General features: G+C 40.9%; 1 protein-coding gene and 1 pseudogene across 12 annotated transcripts in view, besides 1 other annotated feature; both read left to right on the plus strand.

The window, feature by feature from the left end:
• The window catches only part of TDRD9 (tudor domain containing 9), a 124,212-nt gene that overhangs the window by 79,063 nt on the left and 23,091 nt on the right, over positions 1–22,058 (plus strand). For all 12 annotated transcript variants that reach the window (XM_006720019.4, NM_153046.3, XM_005267309.5 and 9 more), the window contains 9 exons: positions 895–948; positions 7,207–7,323; positions 8,463–8,570; positions 10,574–10,674; positions 14,639–14,812; positions 17,051–17,162; positions 18,046–18,258; positions 18,529–18,618; positions 19,161–19,421. In XM_006720019.4, coding sequence (XP_006720082.1) covers positions 895–948; positions 7,207–7,323; positions 8,463–8,570; positions 10,574–10,674; positions 14,639–14,812; positions 17,051–17,162; positions 18,046–18,258; positions 18,529–18,618; positions 19,161–19,421 — 1,230 coding nt within the window. The remainder of the gene's footprint in view (positions 1–894; positions 949–7,206; positions 7,324–8,462; positions 8,571–10,573; positions 10,675–14,638; positions 14,813–17,050; positions 17,163–18,045; positions 18,259–18,528; positions 18,619–19,160; positions 19,422–22,058) is intronic.
• On the plus strand, positions 6,124–6,415 carry RN7SL634P (RNA, 7SL, cytoplasmic 634, pseudogene; annotated as a pseudogene).
• Positions 9,379–10,578: an enhancer, noted in NCBI's record as "BRD4-independent group 4 enhancer chr14:104483234-104484433 (GRCh37/hg19 assembly coordinates)". NCBI's record gives its function as "activates an origin of replication core promoter dependent on BRD2, P300/CBP, MED14 and CDK7 cofactors, and independent of BRD4, by STARR-seq in HCT116 cells {active_cell/tissue: HCT116}" and the evidence as "EXISTENCE:reporter gene assay evidence [ECO:0000049][PMID:35650434]".

A 22,058-nucleotide genomic window follows, 5' to 3' on the forward strand; every position in this document is an offset into this window, starting at 1 on the left:
GTGGGTACTGGGTTGGACGTGTCAGTTCAAAATTGAGGGCCATGTGGCTGCTGTTTCTGTTTTCAGCTCTTTTAGATAACGGGCTTAAAAGAAATGTAATCTGTTACCCTCCATTTTATTGTTTTTTTTTTTTGGTCAGGCTTTGCTGTTCTTCTAAACTTATTTGGTTCAACAGACTGTTTACAGGTCTGCCGTTTCTGTGTGGAGATTTGCTGTGCTTAGATATATCTCTACCAATACATATATGAGTTAGGTGTTTAAAGTCTTTTTTTTTTTTGAGACGGAGTCTCGGTCTGTCGCCCAGGCTGGAGTGCAGTGGCACGATCTTGGCTCACTGCAAGCTCTGTCTCCTGGGCTAACACCATTCTCCTGCTTCAGCCTCCCGAGCAGCTGGGACCACAGGTGCCCGCCACCACACCCAGCTACTTTTTTTGTATTTTTTAGTAGAGATGGGGTTTCACTGTGTTAGCTAGGGTGGTCTCGATCTCCTGACCTTGTGATCTGCCCGCCTCGGCCTCCCAAAGTGGTGGGATTACAGGCGTGAACCACCGCGCCTGGCTTAAAGTCTTTTAAAGGCTCAGCTGTAGTATTTTTCTTGTTGGTATATAATTTGTCAGACATCTTTTTTCAAGATAATCAAGTTATGTCTACCTTTAATTTTTGAGACAGGTGAACTCAGAAGAGTTTCTGTATTGTGTTTATGGTTGAGTATTACGCTCTCTGGCTTCAATGTAAAATTGGATGTACCTGGAGAGGGAGTGCCACTGTCAACTTGAGTAGCTCAGTAATTTACATTCATCATTAAATTTTTGGATGAAATATGTATTAAAGTAGCTAAATTCAGCTCTAATTTATTACCTTAATATTGAGTATTCTGCTTTTATATATTTAAAGGATGAACTTAATTGGGGACGGTTAAATTACATTCAAATCAAGAGAATTAGAGAGGTAAGTTAAGTTTTTTGACCAAATGGATGCAAATAAAGTTGACTTATGAAATATTTATTAAATGACAACAATATTTATTAAGTACGTGGGTAGTAATGAGTATTCCAAGAAGTGTATTTCCTGCCTGTTTCCAGCTTTAGTAGGAGTGTCTCTTGTGTTTTCACCTTTCAGTAGAACTACTTGGGTTTCTAATAAATACTCCTTTTCCAGTTAAGGAATGTATTTCCCCTATGTATACTTTAATGAGGAATGGTTGTGTCATCTTGTTGTATGTCTTTTCAGTATATGTCAGGATAAAGAGATTGGGTGTCGTGGCTCACACCTGTAGTCCCAGCTTCTGGGAAAGCTGAGGTGAGAGGTTTGCATGAGCCTGGGAGGCAGAGGCTTCAGTGAGCCGTGATCGCACCAATATATTCTAGCCTGGGTGACAGAGCGAGAGCCTGTCTTGAAAAAGAAAAAGATAAACATATGGTATTTTAATTTTTTACCCACTAATACAATCTTACATTGCTTAATGACAGGAATACATTCTGAGAAATGAGTAATTACATGGTTTTATCCTTGTGCAAACAGCATAGAACATACTTACACAGACCTAGATGGTATGGCCCACTACACGCCTAGGCTGTATAGTGTAGCCTATGGCTTCTAGGCTGCAAACCTGTACAGCATGTGACTGTATTGAACACTGTAGGCAATTACAACAAAATGGTAAGTATTTCTGTACCTAAACATAACTAAACATAGAAAAGGTGCGGTAAAAATATGGTTATAAAACAGGGTTTCCCAACACCTGGGCCATATTCTCCTTTTGAGAATATAACTAATACCAGATCTCAGGTGGAGCAGTTTCATCCTGAAACCATCCCCATCTACTCCGGCCTGTGGGAAAATTGTCTTTCATGAAACTGGTCCCTGGTGCTAAAAAGGTTAGGGATCACTGGTATAAAAGATAAAAATGGCATACCAATATAGGGAGCTTATGGTGAATGCAGATTGCAGGACTGGAAGTGGTTCTGGGTGAGTCAGTGAGTGAGTGGTGAGGGAATGTGAAGGCCCAGGACACCACTGCACATGACTGTAGACTATAAACAGTGCAGACTTGGGCTACACTAAGTTCATAAAAATTTTTAAAAAATTAATTGTAGCTTAATATAACTTTTTTTAACTTGATAAACTTTTTAATTAAAAAAAATTTTTGGCTCATATTAACACTTAGCTTAAAACACAAACATTGTACAGCTATGCAAAAATATTTTCTTTCTTTATATCCTTATTCTATAAGTTTTTATCTATTTCCTTATTTATTTGGTTTTTGAGCTAGGATCTCACTCTGTTGCCCAGGCTGGAGTGCAATGGCATGATCACAGCTCATAGAAGCCTTGACTTCCTGGGCTCAAGCAATTCTCCTGCCTCAGCCTCTGCAGTAGCTGGAACTACAGGCATATGTCACCACTCGTAATTTGTTTTTTCTTTCTTTCTTTTTTTTTTTTTTTTGAGATGGAGTCTTGCCCTGTCACCCAGGGTGGAGTGCAATGGCACAGTCTCGGCTCACTGTAACCTCTGCCTCCCGGGTTCAAACAATTCTCCTGCCTCAGCCTCCCGAGTAGCTGGGATTACAGGTGTGCGTCACCACGCTTGGCTACTTTTTTGTATTTTTAGTAGAGACAGGGTTTCACCATGTTGGCCAGGCTGGTCTTGAACTCCTGACCTTGTGATCTGCCTGCCTTGGCCTCTCAAAGTGTTGGGATTACAGGTGTGAGCCACTGTGCCTGTCCTAATTTTTTTTATTCTTTTATTTTTTTGTAGAGACAGGGTGTCACTTTGTAGCCCAGACTGGTTTTATCTATTTTAAAAAATAATTTTTATTTGTTAAACTTTTTTGTTAAAAACTAAGACACACATACACATTAGCCTAGGCGTACACAGAGTCAGGATCATCAGTATCACTGTCTTCCGCCTCCACATCTTGTCCACTGGAAGGTCATCAGGGGCAGTAACACATGGAGCTATCATCTCTTACAGTATAATAGTGCCTTCTCCTGGATACCTCCTGAAGGATACCTGCCTGAGACTGTTTTATAATTAACTTTGTTTGTTTCCTTTTTTTTTTTTTTTGCTACTTCTTTCAAGACATGTGAAGTTAATTTAAAAAAAAAATAGGAGTATATACTCTGAAATAATGATGGTATAGTATGATAAATCCATAAGCCAGTAACATAGTTACTATCATTATCAAGTACAGTCATCCCTTGGTATTCACTGGAGGGTTGGTTTCAGGACCCCTGTATACCAAAATTCACGAATACTCAAGTCTTACAGTTGGCCCTGTGGCGCCCATGTGAATAGTCGGCCTTCCATATACTCGGGCTTGCATCCCTCGAATACTGTATTTTTGATCCACATTTGGTTGAGAAAAACCTGCATATAAGTGGGCCCTCGCTGTTCAACCCCATGTTGTTCAGGGGTGAACTGAAATGTACTGTATGTGTTGTATGTGCTAGACTTTCATATGATTGGCAGCACAGTAGGTTTGTTTACACCAGCATCACTGCAGACACGTGAGTAAACGTGTTGCCCTACAACAGCTATGACGTGACCAGGCAACAGGAATTTTCTAGCTCTGTGACGGTCTTATGGGTCCACAGTTCTATACGTGTCCATGGTCAACTGAGACACTGCTATGTGGTGCATGACTTATACATGAATACATGATGGATTTCCCACTGTTGACCCAGCCACGTGTTCTTAGAATAAACTCTGCTTGTTTGTAATGTTTTCTCCCAAAACATTGCTCGGTTCTGATTGCCAATATTTTCTCTAGAATTTTTGCCTCTATATTTATAAGTGAAATTGGCCTCTGGTTTACGTGTGTGTGTGTGCATGTGTGCGCACATGCATGCACAATACTATGAGATGTTGTTATTGATACCACCCTGGTAGGATGAACATCTTTCTGTACCCAGGAACCATTTTAATCAACAGTTTAATAACTAGAAATGTATTTCTTACATATTTGATAGAACACATTCAAAAACACCTTTGGGATTAGTGCCTTTTTGAGGGATCAATTTTAAAAAAAATTTCAATACCCCTGGTAGTTACTGATCCATTCTGGATTCTAATTCTTCTGGAGTCATTTTTGATGAGTTACGTTTTTTCATTCAGGTACCCATTTAATCCAGATCATGAAGTTTATTGATGTATAGTTACACGTAATTTTCTTAATTTCAAATTCATGTCAACTGGTAACACCTTTCTTGTTCTTATTGTTGTGTATTTGTGTACTCTCATTGTTTCTTGATTATATTTGTATATTCAGGGAGTCCCCAAGACCATCCTCAGGTTCACTGATTGGCTAGAAGGACTCACAGAAGTAGAAAAGCTGTTATGCTTATGCTTATGATTTATTTTAGCCAAAGGATATGGATTAAAATCAGCAAAGGTTAAAAAAAAAAAGTGCATGGGAGGAGCCCTGGAGAGACCAGGTGCAGGCTACCAGGTGTCCTTTCCCAGTAGAGTCTTATGGACAGTGATTAATTCTCTCAGCAACAGTGTGCGATGACAGGCATGAAGTATTGCAACCAGGAAGCTCACCTGAGCCTTGGTGTCCTGGGTTTTTATTGAGCACTGGTTATGTAGGCCTAGAGTACCCATGTGACTGACTTTAGTTACTCAGTCTTCAGTCCCTCCAGAGGAAACTGTTACCCTCATGGCCCAAGGCCCCACCGTCAATCATATTCTAGCGTGAACTCTTTTGTGTGGCCCAAGGCCCCAGGTCAGCATGCATACTCTTATCCAGGAGGGTAAGAGTCCCTGGAGGCTTGGCAATGACCTTTCAGGAGCTGGGCCAGGGCCAAGCCTTTCTCTGGAATGTGCATGGTCTGGACAGCCAGGCCTGCTGGATTACTCCTTTACTGCAGAGTCTGCAAGATGCTTCCTTTGTGTTATTGTATTTTCAGAGAGCTTACTCTTAGTTTCATTTGTCAGTTTTCTTGTGTATGTTTTTTGGGAGGGAAGGAGTAGGTGTGGGATTCTAAATCATTGCTTTTTTTTTTTTTCCATTAATTTAGTTCTCCTTTGACTTTTAGTTTACTTCAGTCTTTCTGAAATTAGTATTTATTATTAATAATAATATTTTCAGTCTTTCTAATTAAAAGCATTTAAAGCTATGAATTTTATTATGAGCAGCTTTAGCCACCACATCCTATTGATTTTTGACATTCCTGTCTATAATTTCTTTTAGTGTTGGTTTCCTCTCTGACTAAAGAGTTTATTTTTATTTTTTAGAGACAGGGTCTTTGTCTCCCAGACTGGAATGCAGTGGCATAACCATAGCTCACTGCAGCCTCAAACTCCTGTGCTTAAGCAATCCTCCTGCCTCAGCCTCCTAAAGCTCTGAGAGGTGTGAACCACCGTGCCCAGCCCTGAAATGTTTTTAAATATCTTTTTGTTGTTGTTCATTTCTGATTTTATTGCATTTTAGTATAGAGAGTGGCATAGTCTTGGTTTTTACTTAGTTCACTTACATGTGATTACAGTCACATGAAACAGTTCCATCCCTCAGGGGTACAGAGGCGAGCATCTGAGTGTGCTCTCCCTTGCTTCCCATGTCCCAGGCTTTTCCTCCCTCCACAGAGATAGTGGCTGCTGAGTTTTTCTGTCCTTTCAATTCTTTTTAGTTGTTATTCCCCCCAGTTATGTTCACACTTGTGACTGTATTCTTTTTGTAATTGAGATACTTTTGTGGTGACTTAATTTATGATCAGTTCATAGGTATTTGGAGTTGTGTATTTTCATGTGTGTACATTAAAGTTTGACATTTTGTGTGAAACAGTTTTTATTACAACTGGATATTGATTTTATTTTCCTGTTCGGAGGGACTATTTGGCCATAGGTCACTTACTTTGTTTTTAATCACAAAAGCCGTACATGTTCATGGCAGAGGCTGGGACGTGTTTCAAGGATCTAAAGCAAGGCTGTGGTCATGGCTCTCTGCTATTCTGACCTCTGGGTGGGCACAGTTATGCGTTTGCATTGGTTCCCATCTCAGGGGTGTGTGTTTATAAACAGATCAGGGAGCATATATGATTTTGTATTCTGGTATTTTCTCTAAGTGTTATATTGTTCATCCTTAACATTACTTATTAATTAATTTCTAAGAAGATGATTCTTGCCAGGCATGGTGGCACACGCCTGTATTGCCGGTTGTTTGGGAGGCTGAGGCTGGAGGATCACTTGAGCGTAGGAGTTCTGGGCTGTAGTGCGCCATGCTGATTGGGTGTTGCATTAAACGCAACACTGATGTGGTAACCTCTTGGGAGCCAGGGACCACTGTGTTGCCTAAGGAGGGGTGAACCAGCCAAGTTGGAGCAGGTCAAAACTCCTGTGTTGATCCGTGTGGGATTGTGCCTGTGAATAGCCACTGCACTGTCTAGCCTGGGCAATATAGCAAGATCTTGCCTCTAAAAATAAATTTTAGGCCAGGCATGGTGGCTCACGCCTGTCATCCCAGCACCTTGGGGGGCCGAGGCAGGCGGATCATGAGGTCAGGAGATTGAGACCATCCTGGCTAACACGGTGAAACCCTGTCTCTACTAAAAATACAAAAAATTAGCTGGGCGTGGTGGTGGGTACCTGTAGGCCCAGCTACTCGGGAAGCTGAAGCAGGAGAATGGCGTGAACCTCGGAGGCAGAGCTTGCAGTGAACCAAGCTGTGATCGCGCCACTGCACTCCAGCCTGGACAACAGAGCGAGACTGTCTCAAAAAAAAAAAAAAAAAAAGATAATAATAATAAAAATTTTTAAGAGATTATTTCTTTTTTTTTTTGGAGACAGAATCTTACTCTGCCACCCAGGCTGTAGTACAGTGACACAATCTTGGCTCACTGCAACCGCTGCCCTCCAGTCTCAGGTGATCCTCCCATCTCAGCCTCCCAAGTAGCTGGGACTACAGGTCTGCGCCACCACGCCCAGCTAACTTTGTATTTTTTTTGTAGAGACTGGGTTTCGCCATGTTGCCCGGGCTGGTTTCAAACTCCTGAGTTCAAGTGATCTCCCAACCTTGGCCTCCCAAAGTGCTGGGATTAGAGGTGTGAGTCACCGTGCACAGCCAAAAGATGATTCTTAATTAGCTGCAGTGTTTCATTCTGTAGCTGTGTTTATACTTTACCCGTTGTGCACTTATTTTCTAGTGTTTTCACTGCTCTGATGACATATGTACCTTTGAGACATCAGATTTCAATGTATTTTTCTTAGGTGGCTGAATTATATGAAGAATTGAAGACTAGAATCTCACAGTTCAACATGCATGTTGATTCTCGGCGACCTGTCATGGACCAAGAGTATATATATAAGCAGCGATTCATCCTACAGGTGTGCTGAAGTTTCCTGGATATTTTTTTTCCTGATTCTTTCTGCTTACAAGGTCTTGTGGTCGAGAAACTGCTTATTCCTGCTTTCTGATACAAACCAAACCTCAAAGGAGATTTTAGGTCCATAGTGTTCATACTGCGTTTGGGAACCAGGAAACATTCTTCTTTCATAGTTTGCATTATTTGTTGAGTTGATGATTCACCTAGAGAGTATTTATTGTTTATTTATTAATATTTAATGGATTCAGACCCATTTCTAATTTCCAGGGGAGTGTTTCTATAGAGTACCTGTGTTATCACTGCTTCAGGAGAGATCCTTTTGTTTTAGCTTTTAAGAAAGTGAAGTGCTCTTTATATCGTTCAGTGTATATAGCTATTCCCCTACACTGAAAATATTATTTTAACTTTGGAGGCCATGGATTCAAATTACTAGTAGTTAGCTGGAATGTAGCGAGTGAGAAGTGTGTCCTGGCCAGTGGAGACTGCCTCTGCTGTAGGGTTTCCTAGAAGGGTTGGCTGATGCATACGGAATCAGGTTTGAGGTAGATGCCTATAAACCGGGTGTGCTGGAAATGTGCGAGTGTTTTCCTGGATGTAAAATTGCTCTAAGGCTGGGGGAGTCTTTGGTGGGTGTGTTTCAAACTGGTATGTTTTTATTGAAGAAGGGACTCTTTGCAGAGTGCATTTTAGAGGTGAATAGTGGATGCCAGCCTGCTGCCCTAAATCTGAGTGCTCCAATTGGAGTTTTATCTGAACATCTGAGAGTACCTTGCACATAGATGTGTGTGGGGAGAAGTGGAGAAAGTTGGCCGACCTTGGGGCTTTGTGTGTAGGATGGTTTATGTCCTTGTTCAACTTGCCACTGTTTCCCAAGCCTCATTCTGAGAAGTACTCAAGCTCTTTTGAAGAAAGATGTTTCTGTTAGGTGAAAAAAGTGTTTATTTTTTAGTGTTTCTGTTAGATGAAATTACCAGAATTGTGACTTTCTGCTTGGTTGGTGAAAGGTCTAGTTTTCCATACAAACGATAACCATCTTTTACATTTATGGATGTCATATCATGCTGGGTTGAGATTAGTATATTGGTGAGAATAACTGATAAAATAATGCTGTTACTTCATGAAAATAAATTTCTTTTTCAGGTTGTATTGGCAGGTGCTTTCTATCCAAATTACTTTACTTTTGGACAGCCGGATGAGGAGATGGCGGTGAGGGAGCTGGCTGGCAAGGACCCCAAGACAACTGTCGTGGTAGGTGCTGGGGGCAGGCCGTCCTCTCTGGGGTGTGGTGGGGCAGAACATTTTTGTTCTCTAATTGTTTCTATTCTTGTGAGTCCTAAGTGAATTTTCCCCTGGCGTGAATATTAGGCTTGTTTGGCCTTTTCAGGTGTATCTAGGCTTGTTTGGCCTTTTCATGTGTATCTACTTGTCCCTCAGTCTCTTGCCTCCTTTTACAGACCTGGCCTTATAAGGAAGCCTTGAGAGTTTATACGTTCAAGGTCAATGCTGATTTGATCATGTGCTATTTTGAAGGATTTAAGGCACTTACAAGTTTAAGAACATTTTCTTAATTCACAACTTCATTTCATACAAAATAAAATGTTATTGGTTGGCAGCTGAGTGCTGTGGCTTAAGCCAGTGACCCCCCGACCTGGATGCCCAACAGAACTACCTGGAGAGTGCTTATTTTATTTATATTCGTTGAAATTCAGATCTGAAGGCTCTGCGAGATCTGAGCTAGAAAGTATGCCCTAGAAATCAGCATTCAAGTAGTGTGTACTTTGGGCATATCTAATGATCAGCCACAGGCCCTGACCATTGAATCAGCGTTTGCAACCCAGTTGTTTAAAGCCCAGCAGCAGGGAGACTCACACTGGAAGAAAGCTGAGACTGGACTGTTTTGGATCACTTGGTTCCAGTATGTGCCTGTATCTGATAAGGCGGGGTGAGAAGCGCTTGAAGTTCCTTCGTGTCATATCGTAAGGGCTCAGTCATTGCCAGATTTTATCCTGGTTATTGTTACACCACCACTGTTAGTCCTGAAGAAATAAATAGCTCATAAGGAAAGGGCGCAGATGACTTGAGATTACAACTGGAGGTCTTTGATGAGCACCAAAAGGAGCTGGTGCTCTGGAGATGAGAGAGGCAGCTGAGATACACTTGATACCCGTGGAAGGGACTTTAAAAGGAAGTCATTAGTTTTTTATAGCTACTGAGGATCATTTGATTGGCACCTCTGCTCCTGCTGGCCATCAGGTTTGACTAAGCTCTTTGCTTGGCTTCCTCTCTCACCCCTCTGCCCCTTCGTGGTTTTCTTCCCTCAGCTGTGCGCAAGAGGAAGGGTTCTATAGGTCTCTTCCTCAGACGTCTAGTAGCTATGCCTGCATCCCTCGACCACAGAGAGCCTAGTCTGGGGGCCCAAAATTACCTAGTGTGTACATCATAAAAGCTCAATAATAGCTGGCTTTACTTAGCACTTGAGAGGCTGTGTGTTAGGTACTTTTCATTCTTCTCTGAGCCTCACTCCACCCTTTGAGTTGGGGATTTCTCATGTCATTCTTATTTCATGATGTGGCAGTTGGGTCTCAGGGTAACTCTGTAACTTGCCTAAGGAGACACGCGGATTCAGGGAGTGAGGAGACAGGATCTAACTGGATCTGAGCCCCAGCCCATGCCTTCACTTACATGCCTTCTGTCACGGAGCCCCGTGCAGAGCTGCGCTGGCACAGGAGTTGTCCTGGTCCAGAAGAAAGTATGGAGTGCTTTGCAGAAACCCAGCATGGTACCTTGAGAGTTTATACATTAAAAGTCACTGCCAATTTGATCATGTGCTATTTGGTCTTTCCACTGTGGTGATGAGGAAATACATATTCCTCTCATTAGTTAGACATTTTCCTTTAAAGTTTACATTCCCATTATTCCTTATGTAGAAATATGTTTTGAAAAGAAGTATTTAGTAAGCTTGATTATTTTAAGGGAAAACAGAAGTAAACAAATCTTAATTTTGCTGTATTAGACTTACACCATTTTAACAGGGTTAGAATTAGCCTTTATTTAACATATTTATTATAGAACTTAGTTAGAATTTAAAAGTCTTTAAATGCACTGATCTGTAGAGTTTATATATTATGGTTAAAGATAGTAAACTATGTTTTTAGAAACTAAAACAGTGTGCAGCAGCTTTGAGCTTGTGAATGTTGAAACTATTTTGTTAGCTCTAGTAATCTGCTCTGATTTTGTGTTATATTTTACAGTTGAAACACATTCCTCCCTATGGATTTCTTTACTATAAACAACTACAGTCTCTCTTTAGACAGTGTGGTCAAGTCAAATCCATTGTATTTGATGGTGCAAAGTAAGTATATTTTTGTAATCAACTGCAATTATGAAGGAGGCATAATGATTCAAATGTTTCCAGACGCTGATTGTTAAAACGGAGTGCCCATGGAAATGGGTCCTCCTATGGGCTGCTGCAATTGGCTTTCAGAATGTAGCTTTGGTTTATCTTATGGTCAGAAGCAATTTGTCTTCTCTTTCTGCTAAGTGACCTCCTAAAGGAACTAAGCTGCTGGTTAGTGGTCAAGCATGGTCACTCCAAGAAGGCTCAGTAACTCAGTGTGATGCTAAGGCGGATTCTCTTAAAGTGATCTTCACTTTCACGCACTGGTCTGAGATTTTCTCAGTGAGTCATTAGTAAGAGTTATTTTGTGGGCCATGAAGGTGATCCAAAATAGAGTGTATCTGCTTATAGTTGTCTAAAGCAGATATGTTTTGAATATTTTTGGAAGGCAAACATTGTAAAAACTCAATTTGGCTCTACTTACTGCATGTAAGGAACAAATGTGTGTTTTGGAGCATCACTGAGTTTTTATTTCTAACAGGAAATGTTTATGTACCAAAAAGCCTAAAGTAGGATTTTTAATTTTTAAAGTTAGAAATTTTTTCCAGTGTTCTGTGAATGTTGTATAAATTTTTATTTAACTTTACAAAGCTTTGTAAATAAGAACAAACACTTTTTCTTTAATGTCCAGTTCACTCAAGTTGAACATTAAGTCCATTTTCAATTTGGGGTAATTCCCTCCGGCATTTTAAGTTCCATTTCTATGATTAATATATTGATTTTCTTTGTAGGCCTGTAAATGCTTCATGAGGCAAACACACAACTCCCTAATAAGCAAAACCTTCCTAAGTGCTTTGAACAACTCTTAGAGAATTAATTAAACTTGTAGTGTCTGAACTTTTCTTAAATATTCTGATGTAAATTATAGTAAGATTCTTAGTCACATATATAAAGTAACTTACTTAAAGCTGGAATCACACAGCTAAACTCATTCCTGAATAGTGTGCGTCTGCTTACCTGGGTGAGCTTCCAGTTCTGCATGGATGCTCCTTTGACTGATTTGAGTGGTCAGAAGGCTTGGCTCCCAGAAGATTGCAGCATCTTTGTTCCCTCTTCTTTACAACTGGATTGGGTTCTGTGTTTGTTGCCTGTTCTTCTTGCCTGGGACTTTTTTTTGTTTTATTATTTTTATTTATTTATTTTTGAGACAGAGTCTTGCTCTGTCATCAGGCTGGAGTGCAGTGGCACAATCTCGGCTCACTGCAACCTCCGCCTCCCATTGCCTGGGACCTTTTTTATAGGTGTTTATATCTTTTGCATTCCTCATATTTCCAGCTCTCAAGTCATAATACAAATGTCATACCAATTTTTTGGGGGAAGTAACAGTATTCTTTCTGTACCAGTACCAGTTCTTGGGATTCAAGTATTTAAAGGCAAAGGAAGTTACAGTGATTGAAAGAATAAGAAGTGTATTTCTTTTGGCATAGAGCAGGGGTGACTTCATGTAGACTCTGTGAGGTGCCAAGGGCGCATGGGCAGATGGGCACAGGTGGTACCTGGGCATATCATGTTCTCCCATAAGAAGCTTTCAACTTCGTGGTAGGAGTGGAGAGTCAAATTAGTTTCACAGACATTTGCCTGCTGTGAGATGTCATGGGAAAGGCCTAGAAGGTCAGAAGAAGACATTCTATCTGAGGCCCAATATTAGAGCAGTAACATTAATTTGAGACTTCCTCGGGTAGACGTCGGAGGGTTGTGAGGCCTCGGGCTGGTGCAGTGGCCAGTGCAGAGGTGGTGCAGTAGGGTCAGGTGGTTTTCCAGCAGGAGGCAGTCATTAGCTGATCTTGACAGGGGAAAGCTGAGACTGTGCACACATAGCTGGTAGCCGTTTGGGCAGAGCTGCTCCGTGTCAGATGGAGTCTGTTTTGTGGAGGTCAGGTGCTGACTTTGAGACAGTCTTCTGGCAGACTGATGAGTGTGAACATGACTAGGTGGGCACTTGGAGACCTTTGAGTGGTCTGTCCGGAACTGTGTTTTATGGAACTTACTCAGGGATAAGCGGAAGGTCAAGGTAAGAGGAGTAGAAGCCGGCCTGGAGTCTTTGCAGTAGTCCAAAGCAGAGGTACTGAGATGTGCAGCCAGTATGGTGCTGTTGGACATGAAAAGGAGCCAACAGACGGGAAGGAGGATGTCTTGGATTTGCCTGGTGATTGCATGTGGGGGGCAAAGAAGTGAGAGGAGCCCAAGAGCATCCGGCTTTCCAGCCTGGATGCTGGGGAGGATGCAGCTTCGAGGAGAAGACGCTGAGGTCTGGAGTTTAAAATTACTTCTACGGAGTCTTAGGAGAGACTCTAAAGAAGGGAGATAAAGCAGAAGGGCATGAATCAGGCAGTGGGTGGAAGGAAAATGCGTGCATTTATGAGTGAAGAGGATGGGGCGTGAAGGAGAGCGGAGGAGGCGGAGCGGGTCAGGGTTGATTCATGTACCTGCTCCACACACCTCCCCTGCTGGGCGTCTTTCCAAACTGCTCAAGGTGTACATTTCCAGGAGAGAGCTCATTACAGGACGATTTTTATAGTAGAGGAAGGGGCCCAGGTCTGTTTTTGTGGCTCTGTGATGATGTGGGGACCCAGGGGCATTAGAACTTGCATGCATAGCAAGGTAAACTTGATGCTGTCTTCCTTCTGCCTGGCACATCCAGCAGGCACCTTTTGCTCCATGCCTGCTCCTCATGCCCCAGAGTGGGGCTGGAATGGGACACCGAAATATGGGCTGGGGCAAGAGAGGGCATTTATCAATATTACTTGGTGTTTTATTCTGTTCTCTCGGTGCTATAAAGAAATACCTGAAACTGGGTAATTTATAAAGAAAAGAGGTTTAATTGGCTCATGGTTCTGCAGGCTGTATAGGCTGCTGCTTCTGGGGAGGCCTCAGGAAACTTACAATCATGGTGAAAGGCAAAGGGAAGCTGGCATTTCTTACATGGCTGGAGCGAAAGGAAGAGAGCAAAGGGGAGGTGCTTGTAAACAACCAGATCTCGTGAGAACTCACAAGAACAGCAAGGGGGAAATCGCGCTCACAATCCGGTCACCTCCCACCAGGCCCCTCCTCCAATATTGGAGATTACAATTCGACATGAGATTTGGGCAGGGACACAGATCTAAACCATATCACTTGGCAATCAATTTATATCACTTGGCAATCAATTTATATCACTTGGCAATCAATGGTTTTGGCCCAGGCGCTGTGGCTCAGTCCTGTAATCTCAGCACTTTGGGAGGCTGAGATGGGCAGATCATGAGGTAAGGAGATTGAGACCATCCGGGCCAACATGGTGAAACCCTGTCTCTACTAAAAATACAAAAATTAGCTGGACGTGGTGGCACACGCCTGCAGTCCCAGCTACTCGGGAGGCTGAAGCAGGAGAATCTCTTGAATCTGGGAGGCGGAGGTTGCAGTGAGCCAAGATGACATCCCTGCACTGGCGACAGAGCGAGACTCCATCTCAAAAAAATAAATAAATAAATAAAAATAAATTTAATGCTTTTTTTGAAGGGGAATTACAAAGATCACTGAGCTATATACATTTGTGTGGTTTTCTGTATCTGTTTTATTTTATGATAGTAAAGAAAGACATTCTGTTATAATCATGAAAATTCTTTTGCAATTATGAAAGTAATTATGAAGTAAGATTTCTTTGCCCCAAATTCCATGTGACTTTAGTGTTTATTCTGCATTATATTATACAAGGATGATACTTGGTTTTGGTTTAATGACATGTCATTATAACTTTTATTTCTCTTCAATTAATAATTTTCCATTGGAGAAATTAATACATGTTATTGATTAATTATAAATTGAAGAGTTACTGGCATTTTGAGGAGAGATGTGACAGAATTTCTGTCTTGAGAGAAATGAATATGCAGTTTTTAAACAGATGCCTGATAAATTTATTTTTAAATTTACATTTGTGGAACAGAGCCTTTGTGGAATTCTCACGAAATCCAACAGAGAGATTTAAAACCCTTCCTGCAGTATATATGGCAATTAAGATGTCTCAACTAAAAGTTTCACTTGAACTCAGCGTTCATTCTGCAGAGGAAATTGAAGGGAAGGTGCAAGGCATGAACGTCTCAAAGCTCAGGAACACAAGGTATTTTCGGGAGGGAGGTGGCAGACAGGCCGTGCCTGCTTTCACATTCTCAGGTGCTATTTTTACATGACCGTTGATCTGGCATTGCTTCAGATCATGGTAAAAGCACTGGCTTGGCTGGGTGTGGGGGCTCACGCCACTCATCCAGCACTTTGCGAGGCCGAGGCAGGCAGATCACTTGAGCCCAGGAGTTTGAGACCAGCCTCGCCAACATGATGAAACCCTGTCTGTACTGACAATACAAAAATTAGCCGGGCATGGTCGCACACACCTTTAATCCCACCTACTCGGGAGGCTGAGGCAGGAGAATTGCTTGAACCCAGGAGGCGGAGGTTACAGTCAGCCGAGATTGCACCACTGCACTCCAGCCTGGGCGACAGAACAAGACGCTGTCTTAAAAAATAAATAAATAAATAAATAAATAAATAAATAAAAAAGCACTGGCTTTGTGGTTGAGTGGAGCTGCTGTTGAATCCTGGTTGCATCATCTCCTCACTGTGTGCACTTGGGCACATTACCTAACCTCTCTGAACCTCAGTTTTTTTTCTGTTTAATAGAAATGATACCAGCCGGGTGAGGTGGCTCATGCCTGTAATCCTTGCATTTTGGGAGACCGAGGCGGGAGGATCACTTGAGGTCAGGAGTTCAAAACGAGCCTGGCCGACATGGTGAAACCCCGTCTCTACCAAAAATACAAAAAAATTAGCCGGGTGTGGTGGCGGGCACCTATAATCCCAGCTATGTGGAAGGCTGATGCAGGACAATCAATTAAACCCAGGAGGCAGAGGTTGCAGTGATGAGCTGAGATCACGCCACTGCACTCCACCCTGGGCGACAGAGCGAGACTCCGTCTCAAAAAAAAAAAAAAAAAAAAAAAAAAAAAAGGATACCTATGGTGTAAGGCTGTTGAGAGGATTGAGTGATATCATTGATGTAATTTTTAGTTAAATAGTAGGGATTAAATCTAATGTTAATTTCCTGTCTTCCTAGATAGGATTATGCATTTTGTTTTGCAAATTCTCTTTTTAAGTAATGTGGAATATTTTTTGTCTTCAACACAGCAGTCAGTGGGACATAATGGAGATGCAGCTGGGAGCACCTAGTTGCTTACCAGTGTAAGCTGCCCTTCCTTGCCAAATGGCATCTTTCCCTCCCGCCCAGAGAGTGGTACAGGGCCAGGGCTGTCTGTAGGGCTGGTCAGCCCAGGGCAGGAGCACTTGCTGCATGCAGCTGTCATAACCCTGGTGGATCTTCTTCTCTTGGACCAAACTGAGTCACCCATGGTATTTGTGACAGACTGCTTGCCTTTTGGCCATATCCCCATAGTCACCTATGTGGGAAGTCTCATTTATTATTTCTTAATTGTAGAGTTTTCAGTTCTGGGAGGAACTTAACAGGAATCTGAGGAGTTGGTGGAGGAAGGCAAATCTGTTCCATCTGGTTTCACCCAGTGTGTGACTTTTGGTTTCTGAGAGTTTGGGAGTGTAGTGGGTTCAGTCCTTCATGTAGAGAAGGCCTGTCCTGCTCTAGTGAGGTCAGACTCCACTTACTTTTGTAATCGAATGCTGGGGAGTCACTCATTGCCTGAGTCACTCATTAAAAATAGGTCTGGAGATTGGGAAAAGAGTTGGATCAAGATCTTTCTTATAATTCTTTCTCTTCATTTTAGAATAAAGTATTAGGAAATTTTTATTTTCTGTCAAATTTGTCTTTTGTATTCCAGAAGTTTAGCATTTACTATCTTATTGCCTTTAAGGGAAAATGATATTTTTGGGGTTTATTGGAAAGTCATGTGTGTGTTTTCTAACATAGCATTGAGCCAAGCGTGGATTCTTATAGTTTTCTAAAGGTCAAGGTGCACATTTGAAAACACAAGTTAGGAAACACTGCAGATAATTCTAAATCTCAGACCTTGAAAGTCTAAATTGATAATTTATTTATCTTGATAATACCTTGAAAGTAGATATTCTCTGAGAGTCTTGGCCTTCACAATTATATACTACTTGGAGGGTAGTATATAATTTTTGGGATGTGTACCCCTTCCAGAGCTCTTCAAAAAGCCAGCAGAAATTCATGTTTGAGATGAAATCAAATTTGTCATCTCTGGCTTAGGTATTTTATTGAAATGTTCTTTTCTTGTAGAAATATTAGAATAGTTCAAGTGATAATTTCACATATGTAAATGTGTTTTCTTTGTAAAACTTGATTTTTATTTTAATAAAAATTCGTATTATGTAGGGTGAATGTGGACTTCCAGAAGCAGACGGTAGATCCTATGCAAGTCTCCTTTAACACATCAGACAGGTCCCAGACAGTTACAGATCTCCTTCTAACTATTGATGTCACAGAGGTAAGGATGAAGTAATTGAGCTTTTCCTTCTTCTTAATCTAAAATCATCATGTTGTATACAGGAAGTTTACACACACACACACACACACACACACACACACACACACACAGAACTTGTGCACCTTGGTAATCTTGTTAATGTGGGTGAGTTTGAATTATCACTCTACTTGTTAAATTGAAATATGACTAAAATGGAAATTGAAACATACTTATTCTAGAATCAAAGTTAATTTTTAAAATATCAAGTACATTTAAAATGCTGAAATAAATCAGATTTAACAAGATACATGTTAGAGGAAAAAAAAGTGTGTATATTTTTGAAACAAAGTCTTGCTGTGTTGCCCAGGCTGGAGTGCAGTGGCACGATCTCTGTTCACTGCAACCTCTGCCTTCTGGGTTCAAGCGATTCCCCTGCCTCAGCCTCCTGAGTAGCTGGGATTACAGGTGTGTGCCACCATGCCCGGGTAATTTTTGTGCTTTTGGTAGAGACGGGGTTTTACCACATTGGCCAGGCTGGTCTCGAACTCCTAATCTCTAGTGATCTGCCCACCTCTGCCTCCCAAAGTGCTGGCATTACAGGCGTGAGCCACTGTGCCCCGCCGAAATGCTTATATGACCTCAGAACCTTTATTTATGTAAGAATGAGTCTTGTACCGCCAAGAAAAGGATATATTCCACACATTTCCTTACCTTAGTTCACCAGGGGACCCCCTCTTTTTGTCTCATAAACACCTGTTAAAAACCTGTAAATACTTATGTTCCGAGGATTAACGCTGGTGAGGTGTCGTACAGCACAGGGTGTCAGCCCTATGATTCAAGCTCATTTTCCTCCTTACAAAAGTCCTTTCTAGATTTCATCTCTTCTCCTCCTCTTCCTTTTTAGGTGGTTGAAGTGGGACACTTTTGGGGATACAGGATTGATGAAAACAACTCAGAGATTCTGAAAAAGCTTACTGCTGAAATCAACCAACTGACGCTGGTGCCCTTGCCCACTCACCCACATCCAGACTTGGTCTGTCTGGCACCTTTTGCTGATTTTGATAAACAACGCTACTTTAGAGCTCAAGTCCTTTATGTTTCTGGAAATTCTGCTGAGGTAGGTTTTTCTGTAACAAGTCACTGGAAGGGAAATGAGACAGACAGACGTACAGCAGTTTATCAAATATCTTTTATAATTGTAGGTGGAAATTAAAATAATTGCAGTTAGCAAAGTAGTCTGTTTCCCTCATTGATATGTGGATTTAAGCTCAGGTCACTCCAAGAATTCTATAATTATAGGATTAGAGCAGACTGCTGCATTGCTATTGCTCAGGTAGGGCATTGTTTTTGACCCCGTCGTAAAGTGTATACTTGCTTTATTTTCTAGGTATTCTTTGTAGATTATGGCAATAAGTCTCATGTAGATCTACATCTTTTGATGGAGATTCCCTGTCAATTTCTTGAACTTCCTTTCCAGGTAAGGTAGAGAAGACTCTAGGGAATGAATGCTGCATGCTGGACAGGATTCCTGGGTGGATTCCTGGGTCATATGGTGCCCTGCCTCGGCTTACAGCTAGGGGAGCCAAGGCCCAGGACAGGGAGGGACTTGCTTTGTCACAATAGCCAAATTTGGTTTCTGCTCTTCCAAAAATACATGAAAGGATTCAGATTTAGCAAAAAAAGTTGTTTTAATCCAGTAGTATCTTCTAATACTGTTTCTGAGTTTTCTGGTTATGTTGAAACCAGACAGACTTTTTAGGTAGGCCACAGACATAGTCACACATGCCCTTACCATCAGTATGAAGACAATCTAAAAATTATTCTAAATATTTCTTATTGTTGTTAAAAAGCAAACCAAGTTTCTTTAGGAAATTCTCACTACCCCAACATTAGTTTTATTGGGACTTTTATGAGAATATTATTGAAGGTACATGAACAAGGTCTGTTTTCAGTGGTATTTGGGATGAGTGTTTTGCTTATTTATAAAGCTGTTTGAGCTGTGCCCTTCTGTCCTTGTAGGCTTTGGAATTTAAGATTTGCAAAATGAGACCATCAGCAAAGTCTCTTGTTTGTGGCAAGCACTGGAGTGACGGGGCCAGCCAGTGGTTCGCCTCTCTGGTGAGCGGCTGCACCCTCCTTGTGAAGGTCTTCTCTGTGGTGCACAGCGTCCTGCACGTGGATGTGTACCAGTACTCAGGGGTCCAGGATGCCATCAACATAAGAGACGTCCTCATCCAGCAGGGCTATGCCGAGCTCACGGAGGAGTCCTACGAGTCCAAGGTGTGTGCTTTCGCCGTTGCTGGAGCACGCGTTTGTGTGAGAGAGAACGGGGCAGGCTTTCCTTCCTCTGTGGACCCTGAGATAGGAGGAGGCGGACAGTGTTCCTCTTCACCATTTGGTTTGCTGTACTTGTGTTAAGACTGGTGGCACCAATTTAAATGTCTTCTAGCTTTCTCTGAGACTAAAGTATGGTGGCTGGGTATTGTTTTTGTTGGTGAGTATTGTATTTGTTTGTCTCCTATTTAGCTTATTTTTAAAAATTATTTATTTATTTATTTAACATATTTTTTAGTAGAGATAGGGTCTCCCTGTGTTGCCCAGGTTGGTCTCAAACTCCTGGGCTTAAGGGATCCTCCTGCCTCAGCCTCCCAGAGTACTTCCAGGTGTGAGCCACTGCACCCAGCCTCCTATTCAGCTTTTTATCTTCTTAGGATAGATTTGAAAATGTTCTATATATGTGGGGAGTTTTAAAAATGGATTCCAAGATTTATCTCCCTAATGGAAGTAGTTAATAAAATATTTCAAATATTTCAAGCATTTCAAAACTTCTTTCAACTGTTTCTTTGAAAATCAGTGTTAGAGTTATTTTTCACGATTTAAAGGTTTGAGAGGCCACTTCTTTTTCCTTTTTTAGTTGCCACATAATCATTGTACATATTTATGGGATATAGAGTCATATTTTGATATGTGTATATAATGTATAATGATCAAGTGAGGGTAATTAGCAAATCTGTCACCTCAGACATTTATTATTTCTTTGTGTTGTAAACATTCAAGAACTTTCTTCTAGCTTTTTGAAAATATACCTTATAGTTAACCATATTTACCCCACAGTGCTGCAGAACGCAAGAACCTATTCCTCCAATCTAGCTGTAATTTTGTTTGTTAACCAACTTCTCTCTATTCTCCCCTTCCTGTCTTACCCAGCGTCTAATACCCACAATCCTCCTCTCTACTTCCATTATTTCAATTTTTTTTTAGCTCTTACTCATAAATGAGAACATGTCATATTTATATTTCTGTGCCTGACTTATTTTACTTAACATACCATCCTCCAGGCTCATCCACGTTGCCAAGAATGACAGGATTTTTTCTTTTTGTAGCTGAATGGTATTTTATTCTGTATATACTGCATTTTCAGTATCCATTCATCTGTTGACGGACACCTAGGTTGGTTCTGTATCTTGACTATTGTGACCACTGCTGCAGTAATCACGGGGTACAGGTATCTCTGATGTACTGATTTCCTTTCCTTTGGATAAATATCCAGTAGTGGGATTGCCAGATTGTATGTTCGTACTGTTTTTAGTTTTTTGAGTAACCTTCACACTGTTTTCAATAAAGACTGTATTAATTTACCTTCCCACCAACAGTGTATAAGAGTTCCCTTTTCTCAGCATCCTTACCAGCATTTATTTTTTGTCTTTTTGATAATAGCCATTCTAACTGGGGTGAGATGCTATCTCTCACGATGGTTTTGATTTGAATTTCCCTGATAATTAGTGATGTTGATCATTTTTCATATATTTGTTGGTTATTTGTATGTCTTCTTTTGAGAAATGTCTGTTCAGATGCTTTGCCCACTTTTTAATTGGATTATTTGCTTTTTTGCTGTTTGAGTTCCTTGTGTATTCTGGATGTTATTCCTTTGTCAGATGAGTAGTTTGCAAATATTTTCTCCCATTCTACAGGTTGTCTCTTCATTTTGTTGATTGTTTCCTGTACTATGCAGAAGGTTTTTAGTGTAATATAGTTCCATTTGTCTATTTTTGTTGCCTCTGCTTTTTGAAGTCTTGGCCATAAAATCCTTGCCTAGATCAGTGTACTAAAGTATTTCTCCTTGTTTTCTTCTAGTAGTTTTTTATAGTTTTAGGTCTTACATTTAAGTCTTTAACCCATTTTGAGTTGATTTTTGTATATGTCAAGAGATAGGGGTTTAGTGTTATTCTTCTGCATTTAGATGTCCAGTTTTCCCAGCACCATCTATTGAAGAGACTCTCCTTTCCCCAATGAATGTTCTTGGAGCCTTTGTTGAAAATCAGTTGCCTGTAAATGCGTGGCTTTATTTCTGGGTTCTCTATTCTGTTCCATTGGTCATCTGTGTGTCTGTTTTTATGCCAGTATAATGCTGGTTTGGTTACCGTAGCTTTGTAGTGTATTTCTAAGTCAGGTACTGCGATGTCTCTTGCTTTGTTCTTTTTGCTTAGGATTGCTTTGGCTTTTGGGGTATTTTTTGGTTCCATATGAACTTTAGGATTGTTTTTTCTATTTCTGTGAAGAATGTCATTGGTATTTTGATTGGAGTTGCATTGAATCTGTAGCTCGCTTTGGATAGTATGGTCATTTTAACAATATAAATTCTTCCAATTCATAAACATGAGATGTCTTAATCATTTGTGTCCTCTTCAATTGCTTTAATTGATATTTTGTAGTTTTCATTATAGAGATCATTCACCTCCTTGGTTAAATATATTCCTCGGTATTTTATTTTTGTAGGTATTGTAAATGGGATTGCTTTCTTGATATCTTTTTTAGCTAGTTATTGGTGTATAGAAATGCTACTGATTTTTGTATACTGATTTCTGTATCCTGCAACTTTTCTGAATTCATTTATCAGCTCTAAAAGCTTTTTGGTGG

This window comes from Homo sapiens, chromosome 14 (genome assembly GCF_000001405.40).
Source record: "Homo sapiens chromosome 14, GRCh38.p14 Primary Assembly".
NCBI classification, from domain to species: Eukaryota; Metazoa; Chordata; class Mammalia; order Primates; family Hominidae; genus Homo; species Homo sapiens.